This window comes from Homo sapiens, chromosome 6 (assembly GCF_000001405.40).
Source record: "Homo sapiens chromosome 6, GRCh38.p14 Primary Assembly".
Lineage (NCBI taxonomy): Eukaryota > Metazoa > Chordata > Mammalia > Primates > Hominidae > Homo > Homo sapiens.
The window spans coordinates 53445598-53470455 of NC_000006.12; the positions used below are offsets into that span (position 1 = coordinate 53445598).

The window sequence follows — 24858 nt, forward strand, 5'->3', positions numbered from 1 at the left end:
CATAAAAAATGGTAAGAACTCAAAGAAAACAGTAGAAGCATATTGTTTCTGCCAAGACAGCATTAATAATCAGCAACTGACATTCAGGATAGGATTTTGCCACAAGGAACAAGGATACCAAGGGACAGGAATCAGAGACAGATGATAGCATGTTACCTTAGAGAACTCCCAGCCAGACAGAAGGAGAACCAGGGTAAATTCACTCTTTCCAGTCCTGGGAGACTGTGGGAAGAAGAACTGGGCAACATAGTAGAAGAGTAAATCACTGGACACATGTCCTAAGAGAGGAAGACATGTCAGATCAATTGAGGAGAATAAGGGCAGAAGAGCTCTTGCTTTACTTCCTACATGGGTTGTGGAGGACATGGCTGTGCCCGGGTTGTGTGCCCGGGCTGCACACCTAACATGGTGGTGTGCAGCAACGTTAGGAGAGGGACAGATTGGGTAGAGGTCATTGTATTTCTGAATTCCTGTGCTTCTCCAAGTGGATACACCAAGTTAAGAGCCATCGGAGCCTGTTATAAAGTGGGTGGGTTGGCCCTGCACCAAACACTTAAGTGTTGGTCACCTAGGCCGGAGGGCCATATATATTTGTATGGATGTATTCCTATATTTGTATATATGTGTGTTTATGTGTATATAAATATATATATATGTGTTTGTGTTGCAATAAGGAAATACTTGAGGTTGGGTAATTTATAAAGAAAATTTATAAAGAGGAAATATGTGGCAGATGCTCAGTGGAGTCTGCAATCCAGCAAAGACCAGAGGAAGCCAAGGGAGTGGGGAGGCTGCTATGGTTCTTACCAGGCTGAGAAGAAATAGACTTTGGTGTCACCAGCTGCAGAATGCCAGTGGTAGATGCTTACTGAATACATGTGGCTTGGATGGAGCCAACGGTCACCCAGTGAGCACCAGGACAGCTGTTTTACAGATGGTGCTAGTGAGGACCTGGAGCACTGTGCACATTCCTGAGCACTCCTTCACTCTGTCTCCTGAGCTCACATTAGCCCACCTCTTTCATCTACCAAATCTGATCTTGGGAGAAGCAGTGGTGAAAGTGGAGAAAGTGGTGGTGGGGTGCATACAAGATTGACTAAACAATTATCCCCTAAAAATGAGCATTACCTAAAAGGCCTGTTTAAATTGTTAAATCAGGCTAAGGGGTAAATTGGCTTGACATTTAGTTAGTTTTCTCTTCAGCAGGTAGGCCTCATGAAGATGATGGACAAGGGACAAAATGAAGAAACTACATTCTCTCTGGACATTAAAGTGTACAACACATTCATATCAGCAACAGGCTATGGGAAAAACTTTCCAAAAATATATAACACAGAACTAATGTCCTTAATAAGAAGACAGAAGTGTAGAAAAACAGACAAAGGATTCAAATAGGCAATTCAAATGACACAATTAAAATGGCCCATAACTATATGAAAAAATACTCAATGTCTTTTAAGGAACTGTAAAGTAAAACAAAAATAAGATTCTTTTTTTCTCGGTATATTGGCAAACAAGAAAAAAGCTGATTATCCCCTAGCTTGTTTTTTAATATAAACATTTGCCGAGTCTTGTGATACTCTGGTTGACCAGATTCCTCCTGATTGAAACTCCACATGAATTCTCTTATTTAAGGGTATCAGCACAATCTAACAGGAAGTCCTTTGGAAGAGATCTCCAGAGGCACAGAATCTAGTGGCAGCTCTGAAACAGATTTCTTCAGCGACCTTGGGTGTAGACTTTCAGTGCCTTATTCATCTAAAACTTAAGGCGGACGAGACCTACTTTTTCCATGTCTCATTGAAATGTGATCAAGATTAATGGCCTAACATAGAAAACGTTTCCAGCACCTTGAAAGACCAGGCACATTATTCAATGCCTGCCTCTATAAATCTGGCAAAAATCAGTCTAATTCACTTGTCAGGAAAAATGTTCACTTAAAACCATATAATTTTAGAACTTGATGTTTAGAAAATGATCGAATCCAGTGTTTTTCAAAATGTCCTTCAGACCGATAGTGTTATCTGAGACTTAGGGAATAGTTGACTCTTAGAGAGTATAGATTTAGAAGCTATATACCACATGAACTTGATGTACACAGCTACTGCACTTGTCTCACAGGTGTACATACCCTCCTCCACCCTAAGGCTACACTATAATTATTAGATTTGTGTAATCTGGCATTAAAATATGACAAAGATGCTTTCCTGCTCCAATTTTTAGCCTTTTACAGTGCATCACATGTTATTTTTCTAAAGTAAACTAAATGCAAATTTCTCCATGTTTTTGCTGCCTGCCTTACAGCATTTGAGGGAGGATCCTTCATACATTTGTAATAGACAAAAAGAAAAAAAAATCCAGATTGTGAGTCTTGTGGTTTTTTTCTGTTTAAAATTTAAACCATGTACAATTTTTTTTTTTTCCTGAGACAGGGTCTTGCTCTGTCACTCAGCCGGAGTATAGTGATGTAATCACAGCTCACTGCAGCCTTAAACTCTGAGCTCAGGCAATCCTCAGCCCAGCCTTCTGAGCTGCTGGGACTACAGGTGCACACCACCATGCCCAGATGATTTTTAAAATTTTTTTTAACTTTTTGTAGAGACGGGGTCTTATGATGTTGCCCAGTCTGGCATCAAACCCCTGAGCTCAAGCAATCCTCCCACCTCAGCCTCCCAAAATGCATGTACAACTTTTTGGTCCAAATTGCTTTGGATAAGTCAAATTAATATACACTTTGCTAACCAATATGAGTACATTCCTGTAAGCATAGTTATGTTGAAATACATGTGTTAAGATGAAAAAAAAAAAAGCCTCAGAGATCAAGTATTCCATCCTGGAGGGTGGAGCTTCTGCCCTGCCCCTCCTAATAATATAATAATAAACATAAAAACATCTTCTATATAATGGGTGCTTACTATATGGCAAGTGTTATACTTTCTTTAGCTTATTTCACCCTCATGATTCTAATTCCACTTTATAGATGAGACAGCTGAGGCTTGGAGAAGTTTAGTAATTTACCTAAGGTCTCACAGATGCTAGAGTCTACAAGCTGAATTACCATATAATAGTAATTCCTTGTTACTTCCTTCTGGAAACAGAACAGCTATACTTTTTTCCTATTTTAAATATTGAGCTTTTGCTTCTGACACCTTTGCATGTTTCCCACATAGCCTTTAGGTAATTTATTAAAGTGTAGTTCCAACAGTGTTAATTCTCAGCTTGAAACTCTTGAATAGCTTTTCATCACCTAGAACAACAATAAGAATGGTGGTTCTCAAAGTGTGGTCCCTGGACCAGCAGTAGCAGCATCACCTGGCAATTGATAGAAATGCAAATTCTCAGGCCACACCTCAGCCTCACTGAATCTGAAACAGGGTGGGGCTCAGCAGTCTAGGTGTGTATAATTTCTTGGGGGTGATTCTGATGCAGCACTCTCAAGCTGGATCTTTAGATGACAGTGAGATCCCATGGTCTGCTCCTGCTGACCCTTGTAGCCTGTTCTTGCTGCTCACTGCTTCACTCCCAAACCTCATGTGTATCCCCTACACATACTACAGCTGCTTCCTGTCCAAAGCCAGTGTTACCCGGTGGTTAAGCACAAGGATTCTGCAGCTGGTCTGCCTGGCCTTGAATGCCACCTATAGCATTTACTAGCAGTGGTGACCTGAGTCAAATTACCTAACTTCTCTGAGCCTTGGTTTTTCCATATACAGAATGAGGATGAGGATAATAACAGTATCTACTTCATTTGTTGTTACAAGAATTAAATGAATCACTACATGCGGAGCACTTAGAATAGCATCTGGCAGACCGGGTGCGGTGGCTAACACCTGTAATCCCAGCACTTTGGGAAGCCAAGGCGGGTGGATCACTTGAGGTCAGGAGTTCAAGACTAGCCTGACCAACATGGCGAAACCCCATCTCTACTAAAAATACAAAAATTAGCTGGGAGTGGTGGTGGGCGCTTGTAATCCCAGCTACTCAGGAGGCTGAGACAGGAGAATTGCTTGAACCCGGGAGGCAGAAGTTGCAGTGAGCCGAGGTCATGCCACTGCACCCCAGCCTGGGTGACAGAGTGAGACTCTGTCTCAAAAAAAGAAAAAAAAAAGCATCTGACATGCAATACGTGCTCTAGAAATATATTATTGCATTTGCTTGTTGTATTAGTTTCCTGTGACTGCCATAAATTATCACAAACTTGGTGGCTTATAAACAGCAGATATTTACCTTTCACAGTTCTGGCAGCCCGAAGTTCAATGTCATTTTCACTTGGCTGAAATCAAGGTATCAGCAGAGCTACCCTCCCTCCAGAGGCTTCTGGTGGCAGCCAGCATTCCTTGGCTTGTGGTTGCATCATGCCAATCTCTGCCTCCATTTCCACATCACCTTCTCCTCCACGTGTCTAATTTCCCTCTGCTTCTCTCTTTAAGGACACTTGTGATTAGATTTAAAGCTCACCTGGATAGACCAAAATAATCTCATCTCAAGATCCTTAACTTAATTGTGCCTCTTATACAAAGATGTTTTTCCTTATATTACAACATTTGCGGGTTCCATGGATTAAGACTTGGTATCTCTGGGGTGTGGGTGTGGTGGCTCATGCCTATAATCACAGCTCTTTGGGAAGCCAAGGCAGGAGGATCACTTGAGCCCAGGAGTTCAAGACCAGCCTGGGTAACATAGTGAGACCCTGTCTCTAAAAAAAAAATAATTTTTTAAAGACTTGATATCTTTGGGAAGCCATTATTCAGCCTTTTACACTTGTAATAACCTGTATTCCCATAGTCCCCTTTTCTCTATGTTTCCTCCTCTTCCTCCTCTTTAGAACTCACTGCAGGGTTTGCCTCCTCCAGGAAGCCTTCCCTGACTTCCCCAGAGACAGATTTAGTCTAGCTCCTCTGTGGAGCCACATACACACACACACACATGTATATATATACACACACACAAACACACACACATATATTTTTAAGAGCACATTTAGGTTTACAGAAAAACTGCATAGAAAGTACCGAGAGTTCCATATACTTCCTCTCCTCACCACCTCCCTCTGCTTAATTTCTCCTATTAACATCTTGCAGTAGTGTGGTGTATTAATTACAACTAGTTTATCAAAGAATTACAACCAGTTAACCACTATTGGTTCATACTATGAGCCAAAAGTCCATGGTTTACATTAGGGTTCATTCTTTCTATTGTATAGTTCTATGGGTTTTGACAAATTCACGATGTCCTATATCCACCATTATCATACAGTTTCACTGTCCTAAAAATGTCCTGCATTCTGCATATTCATCCATCTCCCCACCCTCCTGAACTCTTGGCAGGCACTGATGTTTTTACTGTCTCCACAGTTTTATCTTTTCCAGAATGTTATATAGTTCAAATTATACAGTATGGAGCCTTTCAGATTGGCTTCTTTCACTTAGCAATATGCATTTAACTTTCCTTCTTGTCTTTTCATGGCTTGATAGCTTGTTTCTTTTTAGGGCTGAATAATATTCTATTGTCTGGATGTACCACAGTTTATCCATTCACTGAAGAATATCTTGGTTGCCTTCAAGTTTTATAAATGAAGCCGCTATAAACACCCATGTGCAAATTTTTGTGTGGACATAGTTTTAAAATCCTTTAGGTAAATACCAAGGAGTGAGATTGCTGAATCATAAGGTCAGATGATGTTTAGCTTTGTAAGAAACTGCAAAAATACCTTCCAAAGTGCATGTATCATTTTGCATTCCACCAGCAATGAATGAAAGTACCTGTTTCTCCACATCCTTGCCAGCATTTGGTGTTGTCAGCCTTTTGGACTTTAGCCATTCTAATAGGCATGCTGTGGTATCTCATTTTATTCTAATTTGCAATTCCCTAATGACATATGATGTGGAGCAATTTTCGTGTGCTTATTTGCCATCTGTATATCTTTTTCGGTGGTATCTGTTCAGATCTTTGGCCCACTTTTTAATTGGGTTGTTTTCTTATTGTTGAGTTTTAATTGTTCTTTGTATATTTTGAAAACAAGTCCTTCATCAGAGATATGTTTTTGCAAATATTTTCTCCCAGTCTGTGGCTTGTCTTTTCGTTCTCTTAACAGTGACTTCTGCAGAGCAGTTTTTAATTTTAATGAAGTCTAGCTTATCAATTTTTTCTTCTATAGATCATGCTTTTAGTGCTATATCTAAAAAGTCATTGCTAAACCAAAGGTCTCCTAGATTTATTTAGGTAAATATGTAAATATTTATTTAGATAAGAATAAATTTATCTAGATTTATTGCCTATGTGATCTTTAAGAAGTTTTACAGTTTTACGTTTTACATTTAAGTTTATGGTCCATTTTGAATTGTCGCACTATCTTTTTATTATATTTATCATATCTTACTTGTACTAGTAATTGTGGCACTATCTTTATTATATTTATTGTATCTTACTTGTACTAGTAATCCATAATCTCAAGGAAAACTCACAGACAGATACAGTAAAGCTTTACTTTACTGTACCTGTCTTTACTTGTACCTGTCTTTACTGTACCTGTCTATGAGCTTTCCTGGAGATCATGGGTTATATCTACTAGTAATCTCATTACTAAGTAGGCCTCAAAAAATTAGTGAGTAATATCATCCCACTCTGCAACTCAACCATTCATAAAAGCATCACGGAGGCTGGAGGCTTACCAGCCTAAAGAAAAGATGCAGAACTTTTTGGTTTAAACCTTTGCTTCCATGCTTTCATAAACATGGAACAGCTATTTCCTCTAAGTTGCTGCATGAAGGTCTCTGAGTGTCAACAATGCTGTCCCCTTAAAAGACTAAGAATAGATGAGGCTTTTATTTTCATTGGAACTGGATTTACTTCCAGTGCCATCCTGGCAAGGGGTCAGGGTGGTGGGGAGAGTCAAAAGTTTGAGGATTATATGGCCACTCTCCCATCAATTCAATTCAATATGACTCACAGTTTCCTGGGTAAAATATTCTTTTTTTCTATTTATATGCTTATTGATTTAGAAATAAAAGCAAGCTCTGTAAGGAAAGAATATAGAATACTTTTTCTATTTCCAAAGCAAAGAAATATGTCTTCACTCTTCTTTTTCCGTGGAGAGATACACACAAAAATAAAATGTTCAGATCTATTTTTTGTACAGTGATCCAATGGTATAGTTTTTCTGTGATCATCGCAATTTCACATAAATGTAATTTAACTTACATCTTTCAAAATTTTGTTTATATAAATAAATTCACAAATTAGGAAAATTCTTTGTTGGTCTGTATTGGAAGGTGTCCCTGGGACATTCTCCTTTTGGGGCTGGAGGCCACTAAGCAAATGTCAGTTTGGTTACAGACTCTTCTCTAAAGTGGTAGTGCCTAGGCCTTCAATGTAAGTTGGACACTACAACTTAATTGTAACAGCAGGTTTTGTTTAACACCAATGTGATCTTTGCAATGAAAGCATGTGGTTGTTGATTGGGTACATATTTTTAAAGGATTGGTGGGATGTTTGTCGTTGGTGGACAATTTAACCATGTAGTAAAAGTTGAAACTACTCCAGCAGGCCCTAAATAGGGAAGGCCTAATGGCCAGCATTTCATGGGCAGTGTCTTGAGACTACAGGCATTTGAAGCAGGTTAGCTCTGCCCTCAACTTTCTAATATAGCTAAGGATGAAAACCCTGAGGACCTCGGGTTGCTCAGAACTCAGATACCAGTTCTCTCCTTGATAACTACTAAGACTCGCAGTTTCTTAATCTACCATCTGTCTTAATAGTATTGAAACTTCGAGCCTTTTTCAGCTTCCTTGGTGGAGTGATGAATTCCAGCTCTAGTAGTAATGGCCATTAAAAGGGTTTGCAGGAGGGGTGGCTCACGCCTGTAATCCCATCACTTTGGGAGGCTGAGGCAAGTGGATTACCTGAGGCTGTGAGTTCAAGATCAGCCTGACCAACACAGCTAAACCTCATCTCTACTAAAAAAATACAAAAATTAGCTGGGTGTGGTGGTGTATGCTTGTAATCCGAGCTACTTGGGGGGCTGAGGCAGGAGAATCACTTGAGCCCGGGAGGCGGAGGTTGCAGTGAGCCAAGATCACGCCACCGCACTCCAGCCTGGGCAACAGAGTGAGACTGTGTCTCAAAAAAAAAAAAAAAAAAAAAAAAAACCAGTGCTTACAAGAGGAAAATACATTCAGAAAATTTGCCCCCTCCCACTGCTTCTTTTTTTTTTTTTTTTTCCTGAGACAGAGTCTCGCTCTGTTACCCAGGCTGGAGTGCAATGGCGCAGGCTCGGCTCACTGCAACCTCCGCCTCTCGGGTTCAAGCAATTTTCCTGCCTCAGCCTCCTGAGCAGCTGCGATTACAAGTGTGTGCCATCACTCCCAGCTTATTTATGTATTTTTAGTAGAGACAGGGTTTCACCATGTTGGCCAGGCTGGTCTCGAACTCCTGACCTCAGGTGATCTGCCCACCTTGGGCTCCCACAGTGTTGGGATTAGAGGTGTGAGCCACCGTGCCCGGTCACTCCCACTGTTTTTTGAAGCACATAAAGAAGCTAAGCAAAAATTGTGAATTGTGAATTAGCTTTCCTATAACTCCTAATAAGTCTTTATAGATCAAGCCAAGAGAGCTTGGTAGGTAAGTCAGGCAGCTGCATCCATTTCTCGATTGACTTACATAACCCTTTAGGTGGGTTCTTCTTCAACAGAAGGGCAGTTAGAAGGGTGAGACTCCAAGCACACACTAACGATTTCTAGCTGCTGAGATTGGCATGCAATCTTATTACTCTTTGGACAAAGGAATAAGGGGAATTATGAGCACAGAAGTCAACAGATACTCAAGGAAACAGTTTAAAATTTATCTGTTGTGTGCCACAGAAAAACATAAGTATTATTTCTAGTAATTGAAAATCTTAGGTTGAAGGATATAAGACAAAATATCAGTAGATATAGAGTTATCCATACACAATAGATATTGAATTCTCATTTTTATAGATTTTTTCATTTATAAAGTTTCACACACACACACACACACACATACACCTTCCTTTGCAGAGTTAATGGTTCATGCAGGAAAGCCACTTCTGGCCTGAAGTGAGGGACAGCTTCAGATCTTTAAGGTGACATAGGTAGGATGTTCCCATGAACTTTCCATTCTCCAGGCTTTTTTTGTAAAAGTTTGGGTACCTTGATCTGACCTCTCTGCTTACCACATATCTTTCTAGCCAGTCAGTGTTCAGTAACTTTGGGACATATTTGATGTCGGGTCTTGAGATCCCTTGAAGTCTAACCCTGCAGTCCAGGTTATTGTACATGAAATTACACAGTCAATCATTAAACATTGAGAGTATAGGGTTAACACTTCCATTATGGCCCTCCCCAGACCACTGGACCAGATCCAGAATGCTTAGATGCCAAGCTCAACCCTGGACTTATTGAAGAATGACTTACTGAAGGAGGAGCAGAGTCTGAGGTGAGGCGGAGTGAACATAAATGGTGTTCCCAATTGTCTGGCCTTTTTGGGTTTCACAGATGCATATTGGTGCAAATTGTATGTATTTCTTTTCTTCTGTGGGTGGACGCTGTGAAAAAGAGTGGGTGGTACAAAGGGAAGTGAATATGGAGAATATAACCATTTTATGTTTCTGTTTAATCGCAGTTTTGAGAAGGATGCAGAAAGTCACCTGAAAGGGAGTTTTAGGTTAATTATGGATTTCAATTTTTTATGTCTAGTCATGTTCCCTGTTACCAGGAATAATCAAGAATCAGCTTGCCTCCAGGGGAATAGGCCTTGTGTCTTGGCGTCTGCTTCAGAGTGAGTGGTCACTCTGTCTATGTGGCCAAGTGGATGCCATTTAAAGGGGTACTGGCCTCACCATAATGAGTTCAGAAGTAAATAAATGTGGGATTGTAGAGTTACTTAACATATACTGCAATTTTCATTGCAAATAACTTTTTTATTATTGAGGTGAAATTTATAAAACAAAATGAGCCATTTTAAGGTGAACAATTCACTGGCATTAGTGCATTCACAATGTTGTGCAACCACTGCCTTTATCTAGTTCCAAAACATTTTTTTACTCCAAAATAAGATTTTGTACCTGTTAATGCTGTTGTTTTACTCCCTATTCCCTCCTTCCTCCAGCCCCTAGAAACCATCAATCTGCTTTCTGTTCACCTATTTTGGATATTTCTTATAAATGGAATCATAAACATGTGGCATTAGGCTTTTAAGGTTCACCCATGCTGCAGTATGTATCAGTATTTCACTCCTTTTTATGGCTGAATAATATTCCATTATATGGATATACCACATTTTCTTTGTTCATTCATCCATCAGTGGTCATTTGGGTTGTTTCAACTTTTAGCTATTGTGAATAATGCTGCCATGAGCATTCATGTTGGATAGCAAATAACTGTTGCTCTTCTCTTTTTTGAGCCCCTTCAAAAGATGCGGGTTGGAGGAGTTTTACCTGACTTCATTTTCAGTTCTTCTGGTGAACCTCTTCAATTTTATTCTTATCCCAAATTCCAGCTTGGTTCCTCACTGAGTGATAACTAAGTACCTGGTTACATGACCTGTTTTGTATGTCATAGTATGTTGTATGTATGTATATAATAGTATGTCCTGACCAATAAGTTTGGTATTGACCCTGGACATAGCCAAGAAGTGTTGGAAAGATGATTCCTGCACTGTGGCCAGTTATATGAATCCTAACTCAGGGAATTTCCATGATCATAAATGATTTGTTCAAAGCCTGGAAGATGTCAGCTCTCTGTGGTGGTATGCCAGATTCCCTGGCCCTCAATCCTCCTCTTCCCTTCAGCCTACCATGGATCTCTGCCTCATGTCCCACTTTATGTAAAACTATTAGATTGGTGCAAAAGTAATTGCAGTTTTTGCCTTTAAAAGCAAGGGCAAAAACCACAATTACTTTTGCACCACCTTAATAAAAGTTCATCTGTCTCTACTTCAGCCCTACAGGGCACTAAGTTCTGCTCCCCAGCATGAGTTCATCAGGTGTGTCCTGTCCTTGAGACCTAATGAGATCATAACCTAAGACTCTCCATCATCACACTTCTTCTTGGCACAATACTAACTTCTCTGATCTATACTAATCTTCCACTATTTCCATAAACATTACCCCCATTTGTGCAAAATGGGGATCTCAAATCTTACTATTTAGTGTTGTTATTGAATAAAATAAGAGAAGCAAAATAGCTAGCACAGTTTGTGGCACATGAAAGGTCCACACTAAATGTAATCTCCCTGCCTCTTACCTCTCACTGAAGCTCTCTGAATTCAGCCCTGTGTCTGGTCCTTTCTGACCAATTATTCTCTGCCTGTGTTCTTGATTTCAGCCCCATTCCCTTGCCCACAACTGGGATGACTCCAAGAATGCATTCTGACCTCTCCAGTTAGGGTGAGGTGCTCAGTGAGTACAACTGTGGAAGGAACAAAGGGCTTCTCAGGTATAACCAGCTTACTTGAGAGGTTAAAAGTGTAATAAAGTAAGCCAACTCTCGTGTTGAATGCCTTCTCATGATCATTTAGAAGTGAATTGATCTCCTGTGAGGACAGATTCACACACCATGGTAAATGAGCAAATGCTCCATAATATCTGGGACAAATCTTCCTTCCACAAAGGCAATCTGAGGAGAGCTCAGAAGAGATGATATTTCACTTAGCATCGTTTATCAAGTGTAGAAAATGATTTCAATAGTTGTGTTAAGGGTGGAAATGGGCCTTATAATCAATATAAGATGAGCTGCTTTCTGCCACTCTTTTGAATAACTGTAATCAAAACTGACAAAAAACAGGTTAGGCTTTTAATATCTCTCAATTATATGAGGAGGAACTGGGATGACTTGAACACTGCAATTAAGTCTCTGAGGCCAAAGGTCTGTGGTGAAAACAGGCATAATTTTACAGTCCTTTCTATTGGACAATGAACTCAGCATTTCATCCTCACAGTACCTAAGAGTGTCATAGCCTACATTTGCACCTGAACTAGTAATGGAATATGTGAAAATTTGCCTGGCACATAGCTATTGCTTAATCAACAGTAGCGAGCAGTATGTGTGTGTGTGTGTTTGGTGGGGGGAGTGAAGATTTCTCTCTCAAACATATGAGCAGAAACTCAATAAAGAATTAATTTTCATGGGAAATAGAAAAGGTTCCACCCAGCATACTTTGAAGAGCTATTATTATTCATTCATCTTTAGTGCACAAGAGAAAAAGAGCAAAGTGGGGCAGGTAAGGGGAGATAAGAGATCTGTTTAGGTTTACTGCCTTAAGTAAAACGTAAGTCTATTGCACAGTATTTCTATCAGGTTAGCCTTAACAGGCCTTTCATACATTGCCTTCACATAGCACTAAAGCTGGTTAGGAACAAAACTGTTCTCCAGGATTTCATGCACCTGAATCATTGCCTTTCCTACCACCCTCGTACTTAGTCTCTTTCAGAAATCTTACTCTTTGTCTCATCATTTTTCCCCACTTTGAGTTAGATGTGGATTCACATCCTGACTCTACCTATCCATGTGACCTGAGTGAACCCCAGTGTCATCAGCTGGAACATGGGAACAATACAATACCTACCTTCTAAAGTTAATGTGAGGATGAAATGAGATAATGCATGAACAAGAAGTGCATTACAAGGGGCTCCTTAAATGGTTCTTTCATTTCCTCTCTGGCTCTACCTACTTCTCTTCCTTTCTAGCATCGGTTAGGTCATCCTTCTGTAGAGACCGTGGGCAAAGAGACAAAGGCATCAGGCCTCCTGGATGCCTCCTCCATCCCAGCCTGGCTCCCTATTTGTCTAAGAGAAGGAAACCAAGCCAAGGCACAAAGGCACAGAAGCAAGCATTGGCTGGGCACCTGAAGTTGGTCATATAGAGGAGAAAAGATTTTCAGCTTCCCCTTAAGGCCTACCCTAATGTAGCGTTAACCTAAGCCTTTAAATGTACCTCCCATCATCCCCACCATGTACCTTGACAATTTTCTGACCCAGGAACAGATATCTACCCCATTCCACTCTACCTCTCTCTCTGGCCCCACACTGTGCTTTTGCTATTGTGATTTCCTCTGCATAGAGCTCTGTTTACTCACTTCTCCTTTGAAAGTGCACAACTTGGTGAAACACACCTTTCCTGAGAAGCCTGTCTGCCCATTTATCAACCCTTCTTACACTGCCACAAGTCAAGGAATGCCAAGGATTGCCAGCAACCACCAGAAACTAGAAGGAGCAAGGAAGAATTTTTCCATAGAGCATTCAGCAGGAGCATGGCCCTGCTAACACCTTGATTTTGGACTTCTAACTGCTGGAACTGTGAGAGAATAAATTTCTGTTGCTTTAGGCTACCCAGCTTATTATATTATATTTCATTACAGCAGATCCAGGAAACTAACACAACCAGGAAAAGCTGAAACTTATTGATTACTGGCTTAAACAGTCCTCTTCCTATTTCAAAGTCTATTCACCTTTTGGGATACCAGTTACAAACTTACCTATTTCTCTTACTCTGAGCCCCCAGTGGATTGGCAAGTCAGAAGTTATTGAAGGAAGGTAGAGCAAGATGGTTGGATAGGAGCTGCCACCAATTGTCCTCCCCACAGGAATACCAAATTGAACACATATCCACATAAAAAGCACCTTCATAAGAACCAAAATTCAGATGAGAGATTGCAGTACTTTCAAATTCATTTTACAATGTTAATATTTCCCTGATACCAAAACCAGACAAACACACTGAAAAAAAAAAGCAACCTATAGGTCAATATCCCTAATGAACATTAATGCAAAAACCCTCAACCAAATACTAGCAAACCAAATTCAAATATACATTAAAAAGATAATTCATCATGACCAAGTGGGATTTATTCCAGAAATACAAGGATGTTTCAACATATGCAAATTAATCAATGTGATATATATCCTATCATTAGAATGAAGGACAAAAATGATCATTTCAATTGATGCTGAAAAAACATTTGATAAAATTCAACATCCTTTCATAATAAAAACCCTCAGAAAACTAGGTATTCAAGGAACATACTACAACACAGTAAGAGCCATATATGACAGACCCACAGCTAATATCATGCTGAACGGGGAAAAACTTACAGCCTTTCCTTTAAGACCTGAAATATGACAAGGATGCTCATTTTCACCACCGTTATTCAACATAGTACTGGAAGTCCTAGCTGGAGTAATCAGACTAGAGAAAGAAATAAAGGTATCCAAATTGGAAAGGAAAAAGGCAAATTATCCTTCTTTGCAGGTGATAGGATCTCATATTTGGGAAAACCTAAAAACTCCACGCAAAAACTGTTAGAACTGATAAACAAATTCAGTAAGGTTGGAGGATACAAAATCAACATACATAAATCAGTAGCATGTCTATATGCCAACAGTAAACAATCTGAAAAAGAAATCAAGAAAGTAATCTTATTTATAGTAGCTACAAATAATATAAAATACCTAGGGATAAACTTAACAAAAGAAGTCAAAGATCTCTGCAATGAAAACTATAAAACACTGATGCAAGAAACTGAAGAAGACACAAAAAATGAAAAGATATTTGGTGTTCATGGCTTGGAAGAATCAGTATTGTTAAAATGTCCATGCAAGGGCTGGGCATGGTGGCTCATGCCTGTAATACCAGCATTTTGGGAGGCCTAGGTAGGAGGATCGCTTGAGGCCAAGAGTTTGAGGCCAGCCTGGCCAACATGCGAAAACTCTGTCTCTACTATAAAAAAGTACAAAATTAGCCAGGCATGGTGGCACATGCCTATAGTCTCCAGCTACTCAGGAGACTAAGCCATGAGAATTTCTTGAATCCCGAAGGCGGGGGTTGCAGTGAGCTGAGATTGCTGCTCCACTGCACTCCAGCCTGGGTGACAGAGCAAGACTCTGTTTAAATAAAATAAAAATAAAAATAAAATGTCCATACTACCCAAAGCAACCTACACATTCAGTATAACCTCTATCAAAATACTAATGACATTCTTCACAGGAATAGAAAAAAAAATCCTAAAATTGATATAGAACCACAAAAGACCCCAAATAGCCAAAGCTATCCTGAGCAAAAAGAATGAAACTGGAGGAATCACATTACCTGACTTCAAATTACACTACAGAGATATAGTAACCAAAGCAGCATGGTACAGGCATATAAACAGACATATAGGATGACTACAGTCAACAATAATTTATTGCACATTTAAAAATCACTAGAAGAATATTATTAGATTGTTTGTAACACAAAGAAAGGATAAATGCATAGGGTGATGGATACTCTACTTGCCCTGATATGATTATTATGCATTGTATGCCTATATCAAAATATCTTATACATTCCATAAATATATACACCTACTATGAACCCACAAAAATTAAAAGTTGAAAAATGAAAAAAAAAACCTTTCTCTTGTTTTTCTAAAACTCTAACTGGATACCCTGCATTTTTCTTTGCTAAATTTGGTAACCCTAATTGGGAAATATGTTGCAAAAGGCAAAGATGGGGAAATACACTATATTCATTTGAAGTATGCTGGGGGGGTAGACTATGAAAGTGAATGCAATTTTTTGACACTCTCCTGAGAGAACTGCCACAACTTTCATTACTAGTATTCACTTCTTCCACCATGGGATTGTCACTCATTAGAGACATGTAGTTGCTGTGCCCCTTAAGGAAGCCCCTTATGGCTGAAAGCAGGTGGTTCCAAAGCCTGTCCTACACTTGCTTCTCCCTCACATCTTATGAGCCAGACCACTAGATCCCACAGAAGAAAAGGATCAGGGAGGTAATTTTTCTACAGAAAAGCACTGGATTCGCATAAGTGATATATCAAGCTTCTAATGTCCTTTTTATCTTTTATTTGAATAATCATTTGTATAACTTTCCCATCTGTGTGTACATTTTAAACAAATGAAGCAGCTTCCTCTCACTAACATGTTTTCTCTTCCTTAAAATGACATCCTCTTCTAATTTACTCAACCCTAAAAACCCCCTCTTCAAATACATTTTCTCTGTTGGTTTCATGCATCTCAGAGAAAGGAAAAAAGGGTTCATTTTAGTAAATAAGCCCTGGCTTTAAAAATGCTCTTACCATTTCACACTCCAGAAAATAAGGAGATGAACACACACACACACACACACACAAACTAATTAGAATTAACTAAATTTTATAATATATTAAGTAATAAAATTACAATGCAAAACCATTGCAGCGTCCTTTTGATTGCTCTGAACTCCACCCCTCCCTGTCAAACAATAGAAAGGGGAAAGTGCTTTAAACTCTCACTAGGGTGGGGCTGCTGCCTGCCGCCTGCTCTCCGAACTGTCTTGCAGCTGGAGAAGAGCAGCCAAAGCTCCTGCAGACTTCATGTTGGAACTTCACACATTCATTCCAACAAAGAACACAGCACGTAGCAGGAGAACATACTGCGCTTATTCTTCTTAGTATAAGGGCAGATAACCTCTCTATTTTTATCTTTACCTTCATTGAAACAAAAACAAGTAAATGGAAGAGCAGACGCCTCTTCATAAAGCTAGTCATTGTCCTATTCCTCTGTTCTATTCACTCTCAAACGATTCCATTGGGGACCCCTGAGCTGTGAAGAAGGACAGGGCCCTGCCTCCACTTTTTCATCTTTCTCCTTAACTCGGGGAAGTCTGGCTTTTACTTCCAACCGCTCAACTGACACTGTCTTTCAAAGTTTACCAATATCTAGGGTGGCCAAATGGGGATGCTTCTGAGGGTGAAAAAAAGATGCTACTAATAATTATCCTGGGACAACAGGCGTAAATGCAAACAGTCTCATCAAGAACCTCCCATCTGTATCCAAACCTCTCTTCCCAGCATCTTTCTGGAGCTTCCACAGCATTTAACACGGTCCCCATCCCTGCTTTTTGGAATCTTTGTTTCCACTAATCTTTAACACTTCAACTGTCCTTCTTTACTCGAAGGCCAGCTCAGAGCTTCTTTGCTGGTTCCTATCTCCTCCATTGATTGAAAAAGTTCCCAGATTGATTGCTTGGTTCTCCTGTTTGTCTCTAGATTTCTCCTCACAGACCTGCATTCTCATGACTTCAGCTCTCCCTGCATCATGACTCCCAAGTCATTTCAAAGTGAAATTATTGTCCAGGTCGGTGGCTTATGCCTGTAATCCCAGAACTTTGGGAGGCTGAGGCCAGCAGATCACTTGAGCTCAGGAGTTTGAGACCAGCCTGGGCAGCATAGCCAGAACTTGTCTCTGGTAAAACAAACAAACAAAGAAATAAACAAAAACGAAATTATTAGGAACTCTAAGACAGCAACAGCAGATTATTAAATCCCAAACCTGGGCCTCCTTCTGATCACAGAGCCCTGCACCTGGCCACATGCCCATGTAACCGACTCTGCCATTAGTTAAATGACTAAATAAGTATATAGTACATTCTTTCAAAAAGCAGTAAAAGGAAATAAGAAAATGGCATAAAAGAGAGAGAAAGTAGGCCAGACATAGTGGCTCACACCTGTAATCCCAGCACTTTGGGAGGCCAAGGCAGGCAGATCACGAGGTCAGGAGTTCGAGACCAGCCTGGCCAACATAGTGAAACCCCATCTCTACTAAAAACACACACAAAAAAATTAGCCAAGTGTGGTGGCACATGCCTATAGTCCCAGCTATTCTGGAGGCTGAGGTGGGAGGATCGCTTGAACCCAGGAGGCAAAGGTTGCAGTGAGCCGAGATCGCGCCATTGCACTCCAGCCTGGGTGACAGAGTGAGACTCTGTCTCAAAAACAATAAAAATAAAAATAAAAAAATAAAAAGGGAGAAAGAGAAAGGAGTAGGGTGAAGCAAAGGGGTTTCAGGGTCTGGGATTACAGAGGGGAGGGGTCTTGAAAGGAAGAGTCCTTGAAAAGACTGGTTGGTGGGAAAAGGCCTAAGGCAGGCGCTCAGGTAAAGGGTCTAATCTCAGAGAAGAGCCACACTTCTTCACGAAGGCTAGAGAATGGAGACAATGAGCATAGAAGCAGCATGGTGAGAGCTACGAGACTTCATCATGGATAGCAGAGGGATATCAGCAGAAGCATTTGTTGTTTTTTGTTTTTTTTTGTTTTTGTTTTCGTTTTTTGAGACCAACTCTCACTCTGTTGCCCAGGCTGGAGTGCAGTGGTGTGATCTCAGCTCACTGCATCCTCTGCCTCCTGGGTTCAAGCGATTCTCCTGCCTCAGCCTCCTGAGTAGCTGGAACTATAGGCACGCACCACCACGCCCGGCTAATTTTTGTATTTTTAGTAGAGATAGGGTTTCACCATGTTGGCAGGCTGTTATTGAACTCCCAACCTCAAATGGTCCTCCCACTTTGGCCTCCCAAAGTGCTAGAATTATAGGCGCGAGCCACCACGCCAGGCCTGAAGTATTTAAGACACAATGAGATGTTGCTTCGTCTCTTTATCTAATTACTGTGGTGCACAATAAAGTGAATCAGACCTGTCAGTGTCTCCAGAAAGCTTACAGTTCCAGAAGAGACAAAACACCAATATGAAATTTAGGACAAAATATGATGAGTGAGTTGGAAAACCTCATTTAGTTAAACTAAGCTTCCTAGAAATATCTTCCTGCTAAATATTTGTTAACTTGGCTTAATACAGAAGGAAAACACAAAATAATATAAATAGCATGGTAGAAATGACATGGTACATTGCATTAGGCATTATAAGTAATCTAGAGATGAATTAAAGTATATAGGAGGATGTGCAAAGCTTATATGCAAATACTACACCATTTTATACCAGGGACTTGAACATCTGTGGATTTTGGTATCTGCAGATGATCCTGGAGCCAATCCCCAATGAATACTGAGGGACAACTCTGTATACACACATACAAATACATGCACATGTGCATATATACACATTTATACATACACACACACGCATGCACACTCACACATATAGACATGCACATATCATTTGAGTCAAATCTACATGAACCTTACCTAGAGTTTTCTGTTTATTCACAGAACTGCCTAGAGGCAATAGAATACCAAGTTAGAAATCAAGTTGAAGCAACATTTACTCAGCCGCTATTTACTAGGGAGTGCTGTCTGCCAGGAATTGTTCCAGGGGCTTACGATGTTGTGATGAACACAAAATCTCCTGCAGCCACAGGACTTACATCCCACTGGGGAGGCAGAGAGTGAACATTACATATAAATATCTAACATAAAATCAGATCATGGTGTGCGCAATGAAAGAAGATAGAGGAGGTGGGGGTGTAGAGAGACAGTGCGTGTGTAGGAGTGGGCTCACACTATTTTAATCAGGGATCAGTGAAGGCTTCCTGAGATGGTGGCATTTATGTAGGAAAAGGAATGAAAAGAGGGGTGAGTCACGTGAAGAGTGGGGAGAAGAGCACTCCAGGATGAGGAAATCACAAGGGGAAAGGCCATGGGCAGGGTGTGCTTGGAAGCTCAAGGGATGGCAAGGAGCCCAGTGTGACCTGAGCAGTGAGATGAGAGGGTATTGGGAAATTAGGTCAGAGGGGTAGCTCTGGCCAGGACACTGTGACATTTGCAAGTGAAAGTAAAGATTCTGGACTTTAAGAGATACTTATCTCAGTTTTGAAAAATGAGAAGAGTCATCCCCCAGATAAGGAGGAAGAAAAATTCTAGGCTGAGGAAACAGCATGTGCTATGGTACGAAGGAGTGGCTGGCTTTGCGTCTTCCGTTGAGTTTCTGAGAGTTGATATCAGTGGAATCAAGGCTAAGAGGTGGTGAGCCTGTGCGTAGTTCGAGGCCAGGCTAAAATGTGCCCAATGCACAACTCACCATCAGACCAGCCCCGCTGGGTTCTCCTGGGTGGGAGGTGAGCCCAGTGTGCCAGCAGGTTGTGGGAGGAGAGGTCAGTTCAGAGACACACTATCATTGACAGAGAGAAGAGTTAGTCCAGACCCATGCTTTCTTCTGCAGCCATTATATTCTCTTTCCTGGGCTCAGAAGCAGAAGGCTCAGGAAGCTACTGCTCCTGAAGATGGGATCAATTACACGCAAAAGTGGACGCCTGTGCTCCTGGATTGGGAAGGTTGAAGGAAGAGAAGGAGGCTCATGAACAAATGGGCAGTTTGCACAAGGAAGTAGGGACAAAAGAGTGAAATCGCCACAAAGCGTGAAGCTCCTTGCCGTGAGCAAGGCTGGGACACATGGGACAGAGTCTCTGACAAATGCTCCCTTCTCTCTGAGAAGGGCCTGTTCCTGCAGGCCCAATTCAATCTTATCTCTGTTAAGTATCTGATCACTGCTTACCCATCAGCACACCGTGAAACAAAACAGGCCAGGCATCTCAGAGTGACCTCCTAAGCATGGAACAGGGAATTCTATGTTCTGAACTAATATGGCCCTTGGCAAAATTGTGCAACAGTTGAGGCTGCTGTTTACTAACTCCCACATCCACTTGCAGCCCAGGACTTTGCTTTGGTCCCAGCAAGGGTGTTAGCTGATGAGGCTGGATGTGTTACGCCATAACACAGCATGTTGGAAGGGGCCTTCATATAGAACGTTTGAAAGTTTCTGCTTCAGGGACCTTGTTTCTAAAGGGCTGAGGTGTGGCATGAGACAGGAAGAGATCTGCCTTACTCCTGAGAGAGGCGACTGGAACACTGCCTCTGTTCTCTTTATCTACAGAGAAAGAAAGTGATTTTGGAAGATTGGTCTGACTGAAAGAAGTTTCTGGAGTGATGAGAAAGGGGTGTGATTGGATAGTGCTTGCCTTACACTGTGAGAATTATGTGTTCCTTCATTCTTTGACCAAAATTTATTGAGTGCCTCCTATAGGCTGGGCATTGTTCAAGGTGCCATGGTTATAGCAGTAAACATATTTCTGTTGTTTCATATTTCAAATATTTTAAAGAGTAAGAACAGAATCAAAAGACGTTGGGAAAAATCCTTCCCCTCCCCTGGTGTACCTTAATAATGAGTCACCACAGAACATTCTACAGCAAGCTTGTCCAACCCCCAGCCTGCAGGCTGCATGCAGCCCAGGACAGCTTTGAATGTAGCCCAACAAATTCATAAACTTTCTTAAAACATTATGAAATTTTTTTTGCAAAATATTTTTTTTTAGCTCATCAGCTATCATTAGTGTTATATTTTATGTATGGCCTAAGACAATGCTTCCAGTGTGGCCCAGGGAAGCCAAAAGATTGGACACCCCTGATCTAGAGCAATAGAAGGGTCTGGTAGCTGGCTAGATTATTTGGGGAATTCAGGAGATGTCAATCATTTTTTTTAAAAAAAGCTTATGTTTAATGTTTTAAAAACTTATTTTTAATTTTTAATTTTTGTGGGTACATAGTAGGTGTATATATTTATGTGGTACACAGAATATTTTGATACAGGTATATAATGTGTAATGACCACATCAGGGTGTATGAGGTATCCATTACCCCACGCATTTATCCTTTCTTTGCATTATAAACAATCCAATTATACTCTTTTAGTTATTTTTAAATGTGCAATAAATTACTGTTGACTGTAGTCATCCTGTTGTGCTATCACATACTAGATCTTACTCATTCGATCTAACTATATTTTTGTACCCATTAACCATCCCTATTTCCACCACTGCCCCTCCATTCCCAGCCTCTGGTAACCAGCCTTCTACTCTATCTCTGTGAGTTCAATTGTTTTAATTTTTAGTTCCCACAAATAAGCAAGAACATGTGAAGTTTGTCTTTCTGTGCTTGGTTTATTCTTAACATAATGTCTTCCAGTTCCACCCATGTTGTTGCAAATGACTGGATCTCATTCTTTTTTATGGCTGATAAGTACTCCATTGTGTACAAGTACCACATTTTCTTTATCCATTCATCTGTTGATGGACACTTAGGTTGTTTCAAGTCTTAGCTATTGTGAATAGTGCTGCAACAAACATGGGAGTGCAGATATCTCTTGGACATAGTGATTTTCTTTCTTTTGAGTATATATCTAGCCATGGAGTTACTGGATTATCTGGTAGCTCTATTTTTAGATTTTTTTTTGAGGAACCTCCAAACTCTTCTCCATAGTGGTTGTACTAACTTACATTTCCACCAACAGTGCATGAAGGTGGCCTTTTTTCCACGTGTTCTCCAGCATTCATTATTGTCTGTCTTTTGAATAAAAGTCATTCTTACTGGGGTGAGCTAATATCTCATTGTAGTTTTCATTTGCATTGCTCTGATGACCAATGATGTTGAGCACCTTTTCATATGCCTGTTTGCCATTTGTATGTCTTCTTTTGAAAAATGTCTATTCAGATCTTTTTCCCATTTTTAAATTGGATTATTAGATTTTTTTTCCCTATTGAGTTGTTTGAGTTCATTATAAGACTGGTTATTAATCCCTGGTCAGATGGATAGTTTGCAAATATTTTCACCCATTCTGTGGGTTGTCTCTTCACTTTGTTGATTGTTTCCTTTGCTGTGCAGAAGGTTTTAAACTTGATGTGATCCCAATGGTCCATTTTTGCTTTGATTGCCTGTGCTTGTGGGGTATTACTCAAGAAATCTTTGCCCAGATTAATGTCCTGGAGAGTTTCCCCAATGTTTTCTTGTAGTAGTTTCATAGTTTGAGGTCTTAGGTTTAAGTCATTAATTCATTTTGATTTGATTTTTGTATGTAGTAAGAGATAGGGATCTAGTTTCATTCTTCTGCATATGGATATCCAGTTTTCCTAGCAGCATTTATTGAAGAGACTGTCCTTTGAGCAAACTGTGTTCCTGTGACTTTTGTCAAAAATGAGTTTACTCTAGGTGTATGGATTTGTTTCTGGGTTCTCCACTCTGTTTCATTGGTCTGTTGGTCTGTTTTTATGCCAGTACCATGCGTTTTGGTTACTATATCTCTGTACTATAATTTGAAGTCAGGTAATGTGAGTCCTCTAGCTTTGTTCTTTTTGCTCAGGATAGCTTTGGCTATTCTGGGTCTTTTGGGGTTCCATGTCAATTTTAGGATTTTTTTTCTATTTCTGTGAAGAATATCATTGGTATTTTGATAGGGATTGCATTGAATCTGTAGATTGCATTGGCTAGGATGGACATTTTAACGTTGATTTTTCCAGTTTTTTATGTCCTCTTCAATTTCTTGAATCAATGTTTTATAGTTTCCATTGTAGAGATCTTTTAGTTCTTTGGTTAAGTTTATTCCTACCTATTTTATATTATTTGTAGCTACTGTAAATAAGATTATTTTCGTGATTTCCCTTTCAGAATGTTTGCTGTTGACATGTAGAAATACTACTGATTGGCTGGGCTCAGTGGCTCACCCTGTAATCCCAGAACTTTGGGAGGCCAAGGTGGGAGGGTCATTTGAGACCAAGCGTTCGAGATCAGCCTGGCTAACATGGCAAAACCCTGTCTCTACAAAAAATACAAAAATTAGCCAGGCGTGGTTGTGCACACCTGTAATCCTAACTACTCAGGAGGCTGGCACATGAGAATAGCTTGAACCCATGAGGTGGAGGTTGCAGTAAGCTGAGATCACACCACTGCACTCCAGCCTGGGTGACAGAGTGAGACTCCTTTTCAAAAAAAAAAATCTACTGATTTATGCATGTTGATTTTGTATCCTGCAACTTCACTGAATTTGTTTACCAATTCTAATATACTTTTTATGGAATCTTTAGTTTTTTTGAAATATAAGATCATATCGTCTGCAAACAAGGATAATTTGACTTCTTCCTTTCCAATTTGGATGACCTTTTATTTCATTCTTTTGTTTGATTGCTTTAGCTAGGACTTCCAGTACTATGTTGAATAACAGTGGTGAAAGTAAGCATCCTTATCTTGTTCCAGATCTCAGAGGAAAGGCATTCAGTTTTTTTGTGTTTAGTATGATAATAATTGTGGGTCTGTCATATATAGCTTTTACTGTGTTGTGGTATGTTCCATGAACACCCAGTTTTTTAGTGATTTTTTTTTTAATCATGAAGGGATGTTGAATTTTATCAAATGCTTTTTTAGTATCAGTTGAAATGATCATGTGGTTTTTGTCCTTCATTCTATTGGTATGATGTATCACATTGATTGATTTGTGCATGTTGAGCCATCCTTGCATCTCTGGGATAAATCCCACTTGGCCATGATAAATGATGTTTTTAATCTGTTGTTGAATTTGGTTTGCTAGTATTTGGTTGAGGATTTTTGCATTAATGTTCATCAGGGAAATTGGACTTTAGTTTGATTTTTTGTGTGTCTTTGGTTTTAGTATCAGGGTAATACTGGCCTCATAGAATGAGTTAGGAAGTTTTCCCTTCTCTCCTATTTTTTGGAGTAGTTTCAGTAGGATTGACATTAGTTGTTCTTTAAATATTTGGTACAACTCAGCAGTGAAGCCATCAGGTCCTGGGCTTTTCTTTACTGGAGATTTTTCTTGTTTCAGTTTTGATCTCATTACTTTTTATTGGTCTGTGCAGGTTTTGGATTTCTTCATTGTTCAATCTTGGTAGGTTTTTTATGTCTAGGAATTTATCCATTTCTTCTAGATTTTCCAATGTACTGGCTTATAGTTGTTCCTAATAGCCTCTGATAATCTTTTGAAGTTCTACAGTATCAGTTATAATGTATCCTTTTTCATCTTCAGTATTATTTATTTGGGTATTCTCTCTTTCTTTCTTAGTATGGCTAAAGCTTTGTCTATTTTGTTTATCTTTTCAAAAACCCAACTTTTCATTTCATTGATTTTTGTATTGTTTTCTTTGTTTAAATTTCATTTATTTCTGCTCTGATCTTTATTATTTCTTTTCTTCTACTGATTTTGGGTTTGGTTTACTCTGGCTTTCATAGTTCTTTAAGATGCATTGTTAGTTTGTTTATGTGAAGTTCTTCTACTTTTTTTGATATAGAT

At 39.8% G+C, this 24858-nt stretch overlaps 1 long non-coding RNA gene across 1 annotated transcript in view; it reads left to right on the top strand.

Annotated features, from left to right (window-relative positions):
• Positions 1–24858, top strand: part of GCLC-AS1 (GCLC antisense RNA 1) — a 75418-nt gene that overhangs the window by 14104 nt on the left and 36456 nt on the right. The window contains exon 2 of the long non-coding RNA NR_183318.1: positions 9364–9453. This is a non-coding gene — a long non-coding RNA (GCLC antisense RNA 1). The remainder of the gene's footprint in view (positions 1–9363; positions 9454–24858) is intronic.